At 55.8% G+C, this 16,191-nt stretch overlaps 1 protein-coding gene across 10 annotated transcripts in view, besides 3 other annotated features; it reads right to left on the reverse strand.

The window, feature by feature from the left end:
* Positions 1-16,191, reverse strand: part of PTPRN2 (protein tyrosine phosphatase receptor type N2) — a 1,048,768-nt gene that overhangs the window by 242,721 nt on the left and 789,856 nt on the right. The window lies entirely within an intron of this gene.
* Positions 11,757-12,318: an enhancer, noted in NCBI's record as "H3K27ac-H3K4me1 hESC enhancer chr7:157586225-157586786 (GRCh37/hg19 assembly coordinates)". NCBI's record gives its function as "activates a minimal SCP1, AML or CMV promoter by ChIP-STARR-seq in primed H9 embryonic stem cells {active_cell/tissue: H9 hESC(primed)}" and the evidence as "EXISTENCE:reporter gene assay evidence [ECO:0000049][PMID:30033119]".
* Positions 14,289-14,790: an enhancer, noted in NCBI's record as "H3K27ac hESC enhancer chr7:157588757-157589258 (GRCh37/hg19 assembly coordinates)". NCBI's record gives its function as "activates a minimal SCP1, AML or CMV promoter by ChIP-STARR-seq in naive H9 embryonic stem cells {active_cell/tissue: H9 hESC(naive)}" and the evidence as "EXISTENCE:reporter gene assay evidence [ECO:0000049][PMID:30033119]".
* Positions 15,326-15,826: an enhancer, noted in NCBI's record as "H3K4me1 hESC enhancer chr7:157589794-157590294 (GRCh37/hg19 assembly coordinates)". NCBI's record gives its function as "activates a minimal SCP1, AML or CMV promoter by ChIP-STARR-seq in naive H9 embryonic stem cells {active_cell/tissue: H9 hESC(naive)}" and the evidence as "EXISTENCE:reporter gene assay evidence [ECO:0000049][PMID:30033119]".

Below are 16,191 nucleotides of genomic sequence, written 5' to 3' on the forward strand. Positions count from 1 at the left end.
CCTCAATACCCTGCCCCAGCCTCCCAGCCAGCTCCAAATCACATCCCACTGCTGTCGCTGACTTCTGTGGCAAACCACACCCCACTGACTTTGGCAGCAGCTGTCAGCCCTTTCTGGGCTTTCAGGGGTGGATGTGAAATGCCCACACAGCAGCTTCAGGCAGATGCCCATATGCCTGAGAAGCTTCCTGCATTTTCAGCCACCACTGTCCTCCAAGCTTGCCACAGACGGGAGTAGGTTCCCAGGTGCGGGCACACAGGTATGGCCTCGCCTATGCTATCTCTTTCACTGTCCCTAGGGAATAGACCTGGGCTGGCTTTGCCAAAGGTGTGGGTGGATTTGCCCTGATGGCTTACCCAGGCCTCGCCTGCTCTGCACAGGACCGTAGACCCCATGCTGAGGGGCGGCCACAGAGGTGTGCAGTGCAAAGCCACAGACCAAACTGCAAGTAATTTGTTCATGTAAGAATTCAGCTCATGAGCTCAGCCCTGGCACAGGCTCCAGTCAACCACGCTAAGTGGGTCTGGACTCAGGCATCCGAGAATTAATGGGGCCCCGGGTTGGGATGCATGCAGTGCCAGGCGGAATCGGTTCCAGCAGGCGTCTGGGAGGGCCGGTTTGGCCCCAGTATCTGAAAACGGTGAATCAGCTCTAAGGGTAGGAGCTGCAGCCCGCCCTCCACAGAGGGGGTCCAGGGCTTCTTACTGATCATCCAGGCATGGGAAGCTGATCAGGGTCAACCTATGAAATCACACATCCCAGTTATGTTGTCTATAATCTTAACAGAAACAGCAGAAATAACCTGAGAGAGAGGAGCCATCTAAAAACTCATACATGTATAATATACCAACTGCCCCCAGGGGTCCCTGAAAGAACGACGAGTGTCGGTACTCCAAGAAATTATTTGGAAAATGACTACCCAAGAGATGATCACACAGCATCGCATCAACATTCAGGATTTCTTTCCAGCACAAAAATGCCCAGTTTGGAAAGAGGAATCAGAGGAAAATGGACAATGAAAATAAAGGCTTTGCTCTCTTTCCTTAAATAGTAGAGGCGCTGGGATGACAGAATGTGCTGGCTGCTTGACTCGGGGAGCCTTGAGTGCACTCGGTGCTGGCTGGCTAACATGGTCTGACTGTGTCCCCACCCAAATCTCATCTTGAATTGTCCCATAATCCCCACATGTTGGGGGAGTGACCTGGTGGGAGGTAATTGCATCACAGGGGTGGATACCCCATGCTGTTCTCATGATAGTGACCGAGTTCTCACAAGATCTGACGGTTTTATCATGGGCTTTTCCCCCTTTGCTCGGCACTTCTCCTTGCTGCCGCCACGTGAAGAAGAACATGTTTGCTTCCCCTTCTGCTGTGATTGTAAGTTTCCTGAGGCCTCCTCAGCCCTGCAGAACTGTGAGTCCATTAAACCTCTTTCCTTCATAAATTACCCAGTCTTGGGTGTGTCTTTATTAGCAGCGTGAGAACAGACGAATACACCTGCCTTGGCGGTGCTGTGACACGTGGCCTGTTACTCACGTTCCCATCTGAATATGTAATGCACAATGGACACTCCCATGCACAGCACACCGGGAGGGTCCTCACCACACAGCCTGGGACATACGTCCATCCATACCTAGGAAGGTTCATCGAACGCATGTCTGAGCCTGATGTTCCTCGGCACTGCTGGCCCAAGAGGAGCTGACAGCCCACAATCCTGAACATTACCTTGTGCTTATTTAATCTAGTATGAAGTCATCTTACTAAGAACTCCACTAATTCTGAGCATGCAGGGGCCAGCGGAGTCCATACTAAAGTTGACCGATCCTGGCTATAAAAAGTTCTGCAAAGAAAAGTATGGCAGTAAACAAGATTCCAGGAGCCCTCTTGAAACAGCAGAGAAGACGCCCTGGCAGGAAGGCCTGTCCCACCTGTGGGTCCTGGATTCAGCCTCCCGCCCCACTCCCACTTACTCGGAACAGGGACTTTCCCATGTGGATTCGTATGACCCTACTTTTGAGTGATTTCCTCCGGAGGCTGTTCACATTTCATCTTTGCTCCAGGCCCTCTGAGGCTTGAACACTGCCCTGTTTTCATTCAAGAAGAAAAGTGAAACCAGGAAGGCAGGTGTCTTTCCAGAGGGCTGGGAGGCTGGTTGAATGGAGGATATTCCATCTCTTACTCTTTCAAGCAGAGCGCAGCTGCTGTCCCACAGGAGTAAATTCAGGATGAGTGGCTGAAACATTTCCCACATGGTTGGAGTTTAAGTCTCTCAAGGTAGAGACACTCATGGTGTAAGTGCAGAGGAGGAGAAGGAAGCTGGGATGGGTGTGTTTAGTTCTGCTTCCAGGGACTATTCCTAAATTCTGCTTGTGGGCAGGGCACAGGCAGCTCAACGTTAGGCCAGGGACCAATCTTACCACGTGGCTTCTGGCCCAGAGCAGCTCGTGAGTCAGCCTGGCCTAGTTGGAAAGGCACCAACTAGGTCTCAGGAGGCCAAGTGGGGGGCCTGCCCCCACCTCTGGGGTCTCAGCATCTGCACAGTGACGGATTAGGGGGGCGGTTCAGCAGCCCCTCGAACCTTCACCCGGGGCTCGTTTGCTGCTTCACACTGGAGGAGGTGCTCCTAGCAAGATGCCGACCTGCAGCAGCGCCCACAAGGCTCAGGGCTGGGTCCAGCCTCACCTGCAAAAGCTGTGGCTGCGGGAACCTTCCTGCCCTGCAGGAACCACCTCAGCCTCAGCCTCAGCGCTGGAGAGAAAGCCCTATCCCGCTCGGCCTGACCCTCCTCTCCACAAAGGGCTTGAAGAGCAACTGACCCATGAAACGGGCAGGGGCTGGGCTGATCCCATATGAAACGGGCAGGGGCTGGGCTGATCCCGTATGAAACGGGCAGGGGCTGGGCTGATCCCGTATGAAACGGGCAGGGGCTGAGCTGATCCCGTGGCAGTGCAAACCGAGGGCCCCCTGGGTCTCGACATTTCACCGCAAACCCTGACCCCACACCCGGCCTCTCTGCAGCTAATGGAAGGAAATGAACCCATCGTGTGGGGCGACATAGGGGCCCAGGGGGCCTGGACAAGTAATAAGGTCAAGATATTTTTGGACTTGTTCAAATGGGTGGGCAGCTGTTTCTCTGAGGAAACGCGCCCCTCCCCAGTGGCCAGGTGAGCAGTGGGGCTGGAGAGGAGAGCAGAGGGAGCCGAGGCCCTCTGTCCAGGCGGCTGAGGTCACGCGGTCTCTTCAGTTTCCATTTTTCCACTTGTAACGGCTGTTACAGCCGCTGTTTCATCGCGTCGTCATAGGAGTTGAACAAAGCTGTGTGTGTGTTTCCAGAATGTTGGCACAGCGGCGAGAAGGCTGACCGAACACCGAGAAGCAGCCAGCACAGGCTCTCCACAGGGGCTCTGGCATGGAGCAGGATAACCCGGGCCCACGTGGGGACACGCCCCGCCCCACAGGCTTGCACCGGGGTGCGGCCTGCCCTGTCTGGGGCGCCAAGGCCAGTGGTGTAAATCCACACTCTATGGTGACGGTGGATCCACAGCTGCCGCGGGTCCCCCCAACCCCAAAGCCACTGAGTGAAAACAGACCACGGTGCTCCAAAACGAAATCGCCCCCGAGGATGAAAGGGGGTGGTGGAAAAGGCCTTGGAGCCTGGGGCAGGGCTCAGAGGGGCCCCAGGCCGGCCCCACTCCCAGACTAGAGCCAGCACTCGCGGGCAGGCCTCCCCAGGACCAGAGCGCCTGCGACCTGCCTGGGTGCCATCCGCAAACCTGGTCTCTGCTGAAATCTGAACAGTCTACACTGGACAGACATGGAGGGAAGCTTCTCCCAGGACCAGGGTCCCTGCTTTCTGCAGACGGTGGGCAGAGGGCAGAGACGGAGACCGTGGGCACAGCACACCAAGGGGGAGCCTGCTCAGAGATGGGCATGGGGCCGGCCTGGGAAGCATGGCGGGAGGGGAGAAGAATCGCGATCCTTTCCAGGTACACAGTCTAGCAGCTGCCACGCCCGGCTGGGAGCTGAGACGCGCAGGGGGCCCAGCTGAAGCCTGCGTTTTCCCTTCTGCACAACAGCGGAGGTTTTCCTGGAGTTCATAATCACTGGTTTTTTTTGTGTGCGTGTTCACCAGCCTGCTCACCTGGGTAGCAGGGTGGGAGGGCCGGGTGGGGATGGCTGCAGGGACCCCCTGGGCCGGCTCTGGGTGCTGCTGCTCCCAGGAGAGATGGTCCCGTGCAAGTGCCAGGCCCCTGCTGTTTGGCCTCCTCTGCCCCCTGTGGGGCACGAGCGTTAGCCGCACTCCGAGTGCGCGCCAAGGGCTTCAGCTGGCTGAGCGCTTTTGCTGTGGGGTGGATCCCAGGCCCTCGGGCCAGCCCTGCGTGGGGTTCTCCCTGCTCACACAAACCACACGGGGAACGGCACAGGTAATATTAACCAGGACTAGCACCTAGGGCCCCACAGGTACCGTTCACGTATCCTGGCTTTAGTCTTGCTGGTTTTCTCACCAGCATTTAGTGCTAGTTCAGTATTTATTTAAATCAACATGTTTTGAAAAACTGCCTAAGTATCTGAATTGTTATAAAGTTTAAGGACCATGAAGTCTAAGAAGGAAGATTATTTATTGTACTTCTGGGAAAAGCCCCCAGAGGTGGGCTCATTTGCTGTGATCTTCGTCCCATTCACAAAGCACTCCTGGGCACTGTCCCAGCTGTGGATGGCACTGGAAACTGGGCTTGTCCACAGCGTGAGTCCCTTGAGGCTGGAAGCACAGAGTGGCTGTCCCCAGGTAGTTGGTGACGGGGTGAGGACCGGGCTCGCTCCCACTCTCAGGAGCCTCACTATGGTCCCCAGAGATAGAGGACGGTGAGGCGCTGCCGGTGAGGGCCACACCAGGCCACATCCGTGCAGAAAGCACCCTCTCATTGCAATGTGTTTGGAAACATGAATTCATGTGGCAGCGGTAACATTTAGAAGAGAAACAGCCACATTTAAAAACGCGTAAGACTCACAGAACCTCAGCCTGCTGTGGTTTCATCATCAGGTGGGTGGCACATTCCAGCGGCTTTGGCCTTGCCTGCCCAGTGCCCAGAGCTCAGTGCCCACTGTGGGAAGTGCAGGGAGCAGCTCTGGCACATCCCACAGTGCTGTCTGCACCACCGCACACAGAGTGCCAGTGTCAGCTGTAGGTCCCATGGCCTGAGGAAGCCACTGAGCCTGGGACAGCTTGAGGGGCAGGAGGCGGACACAGGTGCGGCGGGGGACGCGGGGGTGGCTGCCCGGGAGGCGGACGCGGGTGCGGCGGGGGACGCGGGGGTGGCTGCCCGGGAGGCGGACGCGGGTGCGGCGGGGGACGCGGGGGTGGCTGCCCGGGAGGCGGACGCGGGTGCGGCGGGGGACGCGGGGGTGGCTGCCCGGGACTGGCTCTTCTGGAAGCAATTCGTGGGAAACCCACTTGGATGCCACTTATGACCCCCGCGTGCCAGTGGATGCCCACAACCCCTCTGGGGTGTCGGGGATCAGGTGAGCAAGGGGGCTCATCCGTGGCCTCCAGGCCCCACCTTGATGGAAACTGCGACAGGAGGGGGTCTGGCCTCTGCTGGGAGTGACATCTGAAGATGCCATAGAAAGTCTGGCGCAGCAGCCGGTGGGCCTGGGGGGCGCGTGGACTCCCAGCTGTTGCTGTGCCTGGGTCACCCCAGTGGGCAGGGCGGGCAGGGGGCTTCCCCACAGTCTAGGGGGCCAGGAGAGCCCCTGGGCCTCACGTCCTGCTTCTCTCCTTGTCCTTCATGTCTTGTAGGCGACCCCACAGAGAGAGAGGCAGAGGAGAGTGGCCGTGACCTGGAGGACAAGGACATGCATTTCACACTGACCGGGGCCTCCCTGGGACACCCTGAACACCTGCTCTGTGGGAGACGGGGTGGTGTTTGAGCTGGTGCCATCTGGGTCCCCTGGGGTGGTGGCTGGGTGAGCCCAGCCCCATCTTTCCCTCGGACTTCATTTGTGCTCATGGCTGGGGGAGGCACCTGGGGGCCCCGTCCAAGCTGCCAAGGGCTGGGGTGGGCTGTTCCCCTCTTGGCATCTCCCTCACACCTCTGCACCCCCAGTGGATAAAAGCTGCTGGCAACATCGACGTCCCCAAGACACTGACAGGCCTGGAGGTCTGGACAATGGGGAGCCAGCACCGGGTCCCCTGGGAACCACGCAGCCGGGGCCTGGAGGCCGACACAAGCCAGACCCAGCCTCTCTGCCATTCGCAAATCCCAGTGTTCAAACAGAGTTCTGCCAAAGAAGAGAAGAACCAGTAAAAAGCAGGGAAGAGGCTGGGCGCGGTGGCTCATGCCTGTAATCCCAGCACTTTGGGAGGCTGAGGCGGGCGGATCACGAGGTCAGGAGATCGAGATCATCCCGGCTAACATGGTGAAACTCCGTCTCTACTAAAAGTACAAAAAAGTAGCCAGGTGTGGTAGCATGAGCCTGTAGTCCCAGCTACTGGGGAGGCTGAGGCAGGAGATTCACTTGAACCTGGGAGGCGGAGGTTGCAGTGAGCTGAGATTGCACCACTGCACTCCAGCCTGGGAAACAGAATGAGACTCCATCTCAAAAAAAAAAAAAAAAAAGAAAGTACAGGAAGCTTTCAGCCTCCTTGGCAAGACACTGCTGTCTGGAGACCCTGGGAGAAGTGTGCCATCAACCAACGTGACCAGAACCCATCCTGGTTTAGGGAGGAGCTCTCCACAGGCCTCCACGGGGCTGGAGCAGTCCCCAAGCTCCAAAGAGTCCCCCACGACCTCTTAGTCGTCACCCCTAGGAAGGGCCTAGAAGGCAGATTTCCCACCATGAGAAGCCACATGGAGCCCAGCTCCCAGGCATGCAGCCCTGCTGGGCTATGCGGGGAAGATGTGTGCTCTGAAGGCCTCTGGGGCCACCCAACTGCCATGCAGGAGGCCTCCGGGGCCACCCCACTGCCACGCGGGAGGCCTCGGGGGCCACATCTCCGCCATAGGGGAGGCTTCTGGGGCCAGCCCTCTGCCACACGTGAGGCTGCCGGCCCACTTCTCTGCCATGTGGGAGGCAGCCGGGGCCACATCTCTGCTATGCTGGAGGCCGCTGGAACCACCTCTCCAATGCTGGGGATAGCTCCCTGGAGCCATCTCCTTTCTCACAGAGGCGAAACCCACACCTTCCCCAAGGAACGGAGCTCACGCCCCTTCCTGCCTCCATTTCCCAAGCTGTCACCGTAACAGTCACTACAGGACAGTCAGAATGGTAGGATTTGAGCTAAATTGCTAGAATTAGAGAGCGTCACAAAAATTCTAGGAGGTCAGCAACTTTAGGTAATGCCCACACCTGATGGGGGAAATCACTGTCTTCCGGCGGGCTGGTCCTCTTTGGTGACAGATGAAGTCAGATGCTTCCGGGATGAATTTGGTTCACCTTTGAAGGACACTTTGAAAGCAACACAACAAAACTGGCTGGGCCTTGTACTCTCCGCTCCCTCGAGAAGCTCCCCGCCCGGTGCCGCTGGCTTCTACTGTTTCTAAGCTGCCTGTTGGGCACGTTCCCTCCTGGTGGTCCCGGGGCAGCCAGACCCACCCTGGGACATCCAGGCCCCCTGGGCACAGACATCTTGTACAAGGTCAGAGAGACTGGGTTTCGGGCTTCATGAGCCTCAGAAATTCAGCTCTCAGGAGGCTCGTGGGAGGCCTCCAGGGTCAGGTCTCTGCCGGAGAGAAAAGGGGCGGCCTGGGCTTCTCTTCAAAAGTGTTACCTGACAACAAGGGAATTCAGCCACACACCAGGTGGCTCCGTGGTCCCCTGAGGTCCCCAGCCTTTGACAGTGTGTGTGTATGTGGTGTGTGGTGTGAAATGTGGGTGTGATATGTGTGTGTGGTATGTGTGCATGTATGTGTGTGGGGGTATGTGTGTGTGGTGTGTGTGGTATGGTGTGTGTGTCTGTGGGGTACATGTGTGGTGTGTGTGGGGTATATGTGTGGTGTGTGTGTATATGGTATGTGTGTGGTGTGTGTGTGATGTGTGTAGTATGTGGTATGTTTGTGTGTGTAGTATATGTGGTGTGATGTGTATGTGGTGTGTGTAGTATGTGTGCAGGTATGTGTGTGGTATGTGTGGTGCTGTGTGTGTGGTATGTTGTGTGTGTATGGTATGTGGTGTGTGTGTGGTGGTGACATGTGCGTATGGTGGTGTGTGTGTGGTGGGGGTGTGTGTGGTGTTTGTGTGGTGTGAATGTGTGTGTGGTGGGGGTGTGTGTGGTGTTTGTGTGGTGTGAATGTGTGGTGTGTGTGTGTGGTGTGTGTGGTGGTGACATGTGTGTATGGTGGTGTGTGTGTGGTGTGTGTGTGGTGGGGGTGTGTGTGGTGTGAATGTGGTGTGTGTGGTGTGTGTATGGTGGTGTGTGTGTGTGGTGCGTGGGGTGGTGACGTGTGTGTATGGTGGTGTGTGTGTGTGTCTGTGGTGGGGGTGTGTGTGTGGTGTTTGTGTGGTGTGAATGTGTGTGGTGTGTGTATGGTGGTGTGTGTGTGTGGTGCGGGGGTGGCAGGATGTCATTAACTTGGTTCTAAAGGTGGTTTGGGTTCAGGTCCTGGAGTACATGCTCAGGAACTGTCAAGCAATCTGGGGGCACAGGAAGGAGACCGGGCGCTCCTGCAGGTATTAAATCGTGTTTTGCGTGAAGATCAGCGTTCAGACCAGTAGTACAAAACAGATGGTCTAGGAATGAACGTGACAACACAAGGGCCTGGAGTGTATGACGAAGGGGGCATTTCAAACCCGTGGGTACAGAAAAAATCCACCCGATAAACACAAGTGGGAAATTGTGTAAGAAAATGAAGTGAGATTCCAATATTAAAAAGTCAGATAGGTCAAAATCTAAATAATAAACAATTTACCATAAGATAATTAGAAGAAAATATAAAATACTTTTTAATCTTGGGTTCAAGTTGTCACAAAACCTAAGCTATTTTTTTTAATCCAGAAGTATTAAAAGTTTGCTATTTCCTATAGACAAATAGCTCCTACAACTTGGTGAGGAAACAGGGTCCAGGAGCATTTTCTCTGCTCGGGTGAAGCTCAGGGGAAGACATAAGTACATGAAAGACATTCCGTTCTGTAATGATTAAAAAATCAAAAGTTAACACCATCACATTGGTAAACGTTAAAAGGTTTAATAACTTTTTTTAATATACTGCTGTTGCACATGCAAACTGATAAAGCCTTTTTGGAAAGTAATTTGGCAATAAAAATGCACATACTTTATGAGCAAAAAAAATCCCGTTTCTTATAATCTAATTGATAAGAATTATAGCATAAGTGCATGTATGTGTATGAGAACAGTCACTCTGGCATCGCCTGCAACAGCAAATAAATGAGTGGCAAACAAGCTCTCGCGGAGGGTATTTAAATATTTTATGTGACTAAGAAGAATGAGATACGTCCATTTGCTGTGATAAGAAAAGATATTCCACAGTTTCGTATTTGTTAAGTATTTTCAGCAAATCATGGAACACGATGCAACACCCGATTCCATGTTTGAAAACAGAACAGAACAAAATTCAACAAGAAATAAGCGCCCGCGTCCACATATTCTCGTGCCTGGCGTGTTTTACGTGCTTGGGAAGCGGAGCGGCCGCTGGGCTTGGCTCTGAGGTCGGGACTGGTGCAGGCGGATGCATGTATGTGCCCGGGTCCCGCCTCCACACGCCTGCCTGGCGCCAGCCTGCCTGTCCTCCCTGCACCCGCCCCCGCTCCCTGCACCCACCTGCCCCCCCTCCCTGCACCCGCCCCCCCTCCCTGCACCCACCTGCCCTACTCAGGGTGGTGAGAGCGGAGGGGCTCTGGGGCTTCATCCACACGTCTCCTAGTCACCCTCTCGACCAAGAGCATCCTCTGGATTTTACATTCACTTGGCAACAAAAAAAGTTTGAGAGAGGACTTTGAACATCAAAAATGCTTACATTTGTTATGTCACAAACACAAAGCGTTCTCCTAGGAGGTTTCTGGTACAGACCATGTTTCCTGAGGACCTGGAGGGTATCGCACCTACAGCCAGCAACGCCGTGCAGCACGCTCGGAGCGCACCCAAGAGGGCAGATCAGAGGGGCGCACGCGGATCCCCAAAATCCTGAAGATATGTACGGAAAATATGTGCGGCTTTTCCTGCCGACCAGGCCTCCACGAAGTGCTTCGATAAAATAAAACCAGCCTGTCATGGAGGAGTCCCCTTTGCCCGGAGAGCCTGTCCTTCCCCTCTGGGGGTCACACTGCCAGTTTGTCAAAGTTGGGCGAAGTGGCCCCTGCCTGGAACTCTCTGGCCTTATGAAGCCCCCTCCCCGTTCATGCCGCTCAATCGAGTGACTCTTACAGATCATCTTGAGCTGCCTCATGGGGTGGGGCTCGCGTTCCCATCTGCCTTCTGCAAGGTGTGGCCTCTGACCTGCAGCCCGCACTGAGCCAGCAAGCCGCGGGAGAGGCCAGGCGCCCGCAGCGGGGCATCTGCGCCTGGTGTGCAGCGTACTTGCTATACTCAGGCCAGCCCAGCCCTGGGCCATCTCCCTGAGTTTCAGCTCCCCGGGGCCACCTCTCCTGGGTCCCCTCTTTGCTGTGGCTCTGGCGGACATTAGCCAGCAGTGGAGAGAAGCCCATCTCCACCCCCAGGGAGCTCAGCCGAGGTCTCCGCGTCCCAGCACCAGCTGCCTTCAGCTCGAGGGTGTGTTTTCGGGGGTGGGGATCCCACATGGCACGGCTCCTGCACGTCCAGGGCATCTGCTAGTCGTCTTTGCCTGCTCCCCAGTGTCCCAAGCAACTCAGTAGGACCTTGGGGAAGCTGGGTGCTCACAGAACACCTTGTAAGCGAATGAGGAAAGCAGGCTTGTCCGCTGGCCACACTGCACGACAGACGTCTGCCCAGGCTGGGGCCGGGGGTCTCTGCTCCTACAGCCCGCAGATGGGCCACCCGGAGGCTGCCCCGTGATGGCTGGACCTGAGGCTTTCCAGTGACTAGGAGGGCTTGGGTACTTCTTATTCATGAGCTGTACGTTCTACAGCGTGGCTGGTCATTTAATGTGTGCAATCGATGGGCACTGCGCTTCAACTTCAAAGCATGACCGGGCGGATCAATCTCCCAGGGCCGCGGGTGCCGAGTTTAAAACTCATCTCTTTTTCTAAAGTGGAGGCAAGGGACCCCAGTTTGGGATTAATCAGCAGTGATGAGCTTAAATAAATGAGATAAATTTTCTATCTATCTTGTAAGGCTTTTTTTCAGAATTAATGGGACCCCTCTACAATGCGCTGTGCCCGGGGAGAGGAAGGGGGCGCAGCTGCATCTGCAGCTGCGGTTGTGGTCGGGAGAATGAGGGCCTGGAGCTGCCCAGGACGGGCTCAGGCACAGGCACCCAGCCGAGAGTCCCCTGCTGTTCCCTCTGCAGAGCAAACACAGTTTCTGCTGAAAAGAATGTGGCAGATGAACAAAAATTGTAAGGTTTTCTAAAGGTGTTTCATTACGTGAGATGGCAGAGGTTGGTCTCCATGTCACAGATGACCCTCGCGGCGGTGATAACCTTTACATTTTGGGGTGCTCTGTGGACCCCCTGTGTACCCTGTGAGTATGCACGTTTCTAGAGGTGGAGTTTGACCCTTGAATTGTTCAAATTATAAGTAGAATCACAGAAATTGGGGGAGGAAAGGATCTGAGGGGCCTCCAGGGCCCGTGGCTTCACCCTGGGGTGGGGGCAAGGGCGGGGCGTGGTGCCTCTTCCGGGGTGGGATGGGTGGATGCTCGTGGTTCATTCCCACGTGGGATTCTCACATGCTCGCCCTCCGGCTGTCAGGAGCAATGGTGAGTTCTGCCACACGTGGAAAACACGTTGGCTTCTCTGGGTTTTAAGTGTCCTGTCAGCAGCTCGGAGCCTCTAGGAGACACCGTCCCCCAGGGCCACGTATAGATCCACTGGAGGCCTGAATGGCATAATTCGTGGCACCCCTGGCACCACACAGGGGTGTTTCTGTCCCCTTCTCCTCCCATGGCTTAGAAGCAGTAATCTCCTGACCTCCAGGCAGAAGTCAATTTCCTCCTTTGCCTCCTCCGCCTTGCAGGGACCCCAGGGCTGACCTGCCTCCCTCGGCCCCCTCTCTGCCAGAGCCAGGTCTGAGGTCAAGGCTTTCGGTGTTTCTGAGGCCACGCTGAGGGCCCCACAGCCCCTTCCCGGGTCCCCACCCTCCAGGCCACCTTCGGGCCTCGGCAGCACACCTCGAGGGGCCCAGGACAAGCTCGGGGCCCAGGTGGCCGGGAGGGGGCCGCCTGTGTCTCGCCCCTCATTCTCTGCTCTGACCCGGGCTCGCACCTCCCCTCGTTCTCTGCTCTGACCCGGGCTCGCACCTCTCCTCGTTCTCTGCCCTGACCCGGGATCACACCTCCGACCCGGGCTCACACCTCCCCTCGTTCTCTGCTCCGACCCGGGCTCACACCTCCCCTCGTTCTCTGCTCCGACCCGGGCTCACACCTCCCCTCGTTCTCTGCTCTGACCCGGGCTCACACCTCCCTGCTCCACCCAGGCTGCCTGCACTTCCGGTTCTGCGTCTGGCCGGCCTACGGGCACTCGGGCAGTGCGGTGACCAATTATAGCGTCGACGATGGCAGCTTCCCTCTGAAAGCCCATTGTGTCTGCCCCTATTCTTTGAAGCTTCACTGCTTTCGGATAAGTATGAAAATAGGCTCTCCCTCTCTGAGTCAAAGGAGGCAATTATACAATAGGACTATCACCCTCACTGTCACTCTCCGCTTTGTTTAAATGTGGGGATTTCATTTCTTCATCGCCTCTGTGAACACCCACTAAAACCGTAAGTGGGAAAAGTGGGTGCCTTCTGTATTTTACATTTTTTATTGTGTCACTTACTGCAAAGCAGCTCAAGGAGCCTGAAGACACCCAGCCTGAAACCACGATAAATGTGTGGAGTTGTGGAGACAGCTCACCAGCAGAACAGTGAGCTACCTTCTCTCCCAGTAACCTTTTCCAGAGGAAACCTCTTTGAAATATCACAAGCAAAATTTAAATCACAAAATACTTCATATCTGCCTGCACTCATTGTCATGCTAAAGCACATCACCTCGGTCCTCAGAGAGGAGGGATTTCCATGTGAAAGAGGCCAGAGTGCTTCCCTCACTTAGCGGGGATGCAATTATAAAGTATTGAAACTTCCTCTAAGACATGGATCCCTGTGCGTCGCAGCCCCTCACCTGTGCACCTGGGAGGCACCTGGGGATGGGGTGGGGGTGTCAAGCTTGAAGCCCCTCACCTGTGCACCTGGGAGGCTCCTGGGGCTCAAGCTCAAAGCCCCCTCACCTGTGCATCTAGGAGGCACTTCGGCGGGGTCGGGGGCGGGGGGGGCTCAAGCTAAAAGCCCCTCACCTGTGCACCTGGGTGGCACCTGGGAGGGGGACTCAAGCTCAAAGCCCCCTCACCTGTGCATCTAGGGGGCACTTTGGCAGGAGGGAGGGTGCTCAAACTAAAAGCCCCTCACCTATGCACCTGGGAGGCCCCCAGGAGCTGCAGCAAAGCTGGGCCCCAGCCACAGCCTGCAAAATCTCCGACTCCACATGGGGCCTCAGCACCGTCTGTTTGCTCACCCTCCCCAGGGGGCTGAGGCTGGGAACCACTGCTCTTTAACTCTCAACCTCTTCCCAAGGTGCTGTCTATCTGTGGCCCTTGGAGTTCTGTACTCGGCAGTCATTTATTTACAAGTCGCATGAGAAAGTCCTTCCAGCCACTTTCTGTGCTTGCTCTGACATTTGCCCAAACTAACGTTGCTGAGGTTGACCTCATGTTTATTCAGGGAACTTGATTCATTTTCAAGCTATTGATAACAACAAAGTCCTCCCCAACCAAGGAACTTCCGCCATGGAGGCGTTTTCAAAAGAAAGTGCTTGTGCTCATCCCCAGAGGGTTCCTGAGCCTGTGGACGAGGCGGGAGGCGGGAGGTGGAGGAGGTGGCACCTGGCAGCTCACCTGGTGTACCTTCTGTGAGACCCAGCCAGCCCATCGGTCACCAAGGGGTGCATGTCACACCCTGACCTGCCTGACGGAGGGAGCCCATGAAGCAGAACAAACACATGTGATGCTGACGCCCTCAGAAACCTGGGGCTAAGGCCACACCTGATCACCGTGATGGAGGGGGGCAGGCGCCGAGGCGAACTTGGGAGAGGCCCTATGGTGCACACCCCTACCCTTCCTGGCTGGAGAAAAATGGCCCGCCCCGTGAAACAGCAAATAAACACACGCGTTCCAGGACGTGAGATACGGCCTCCACATCAATCAGAGGGACCTGCCCAGTCCTGTCAATTTTCCATCTAAATTACATAACTGTCCTCCTTAGAGACGCGGGGATGCCCAGGCACAGGCATGAAAGATCGGCCTTGAGGTTATTTTGTCTCTGCAAGTATTGATGCGAGGACTTGTGGCGCTTTTCTTTCCCGGTGAACTTTCCCAACTGCTGATGTTACGTGCACTAAGCACATGATTTTCCTATTCATTCCCGAATCTCACATTTTACCGGGATGGTGACATCCCTGTGGGGCCTTGTGGGCTCTGAGCTCATCTACACCCAATCCTAGTCAGCTCTGCTGCCCCTGCGGGGTAAACTGGCAGCTCTGAGTTCACTGGGTGCTGTTTACTGAACGCCTGCCCATGGAAGCCACTGTCCTCATCACTGGGAAAGGCGCAGAGAAGAGAAGGAAACGTTAAAAATCTGGTTGGAGAGAGGAAACAAACTTGGACCATCTTTGACAGTGGTATTAGTCCATTCTCCATGGCTACAAAGAAACACCTGAGACTGGATGATTCTAGGAAAGAGGCTTAATCGGCTCAGAGCTCTGCAGGTTGCACAGGGAGCACGGCAGCTTCTGCTTCTGGGGAGGCCTCAGGGAGCTTCCAGTCACGGTGGAAGGCGAAAGGGAAGCAATCTCGTCCCACGGTGGGCGTAGGCGCAAGGTGGGAGGGGCTACCCAGGTTTAAACACACGGGTCTCAGAAAACTCACTATCATGAGAACAGCAAGGAGAGGGTGGTGCAAAACCATTCAAAAATCACCCCCAAGTCCAGTCACCACCCCCCAGGCCCCACACCCAACACTGGGGATTACGGTTCGACAGGAGATTTTGGGGCACACTGATCCAACCATCTCAACAGCAAAGAGTGATCTGCCTCGAGTTCCGACTCGCCGCTCAGACGAACTCACGGCTCAGCTGGGAGAATCACACGGGAGGGGCCCATGAACGGGCACTGGGGCCACAGCCGGGGATTCAACTGCACCGAAATCCCAGCCCTCAACACGGCCCACGGCTGTGTCATCCCGGATTTATCACTATAAAGCAAAACCAAAAACGGACCTCAGGTTTCTCTGCAATATGTAGGATCCGTGAAACCTCCAACGTGAAATGAGAAGTAGGTAGCCTCGAATCTGCACCCAGGCAGCCCCAAAGGCTATCTGATGACAACACACATTTTCTCATGAAGCGGAGGAGAGTCCGGCCTTGTTGCTGGGCCTGCAGGACATCCCATCGCTCATCTTAATTCTCCTGAGGGTGATATTTACACCTGATATTTACAAGGTGTGGCAAGTGAGAATTTCATCCCAGCCTCCTGCCTGGCAGGTTACACAAGCTGGCCACAGGGATGCTTATGGGCTGAGGTCGTGGGAGGCATCCCGTGAGGGTCACAGGCTGAGGTCGTGGGAGGCATCCCGTGAGGGTCACACAGGCAAAGACTGTCAGCCAAAAGGAATTCCAAGGCCCGGACGGGAGGCGGCCACAGGCTCCTGGGTGTGCTGTGGGACGTACCACTCGGTGGCAGGGCCTGGCCAGAGAGCTGCCCTGCAGGCCTGTGGGATCCTTCAACGCGAAGCTTGCATTCCAGGAGCTCCCTGAGCCCTGAGACCATGGTGAGGGGCTGCGTTGGGCCAGGCTGGGTGTGCACCTGTCAGTTACATTTTCCTATGTGTCCTCCTTCCTTTCTTTGGAGCCTGAATCTTTGTCTTTAGCATCCTTTGTAGTCTTGAATTCTGAGCCCATTCCTGAGACCCCTCTGAACCTCCAGAGGCCCCGCAGCTCTCAAGCTGGAGGACTGGGGACTATGCTCATCTTTCCTTTGACCCCAGGTCTGTCTTCCTACATTTCTTTAACGATT

This window comes from Homo sapiens, chromosome 7 (genome assembly GCF_000001405.40).
Source record: "Homo sapiens chromosome 7, GRCh38.p14 Primary Assembly".
Lineage (NCBI taxonomy): Eukaryota > Metazoa > Chordata > Mammalia > Primates > Hominidae > Homo > Homo sapiens.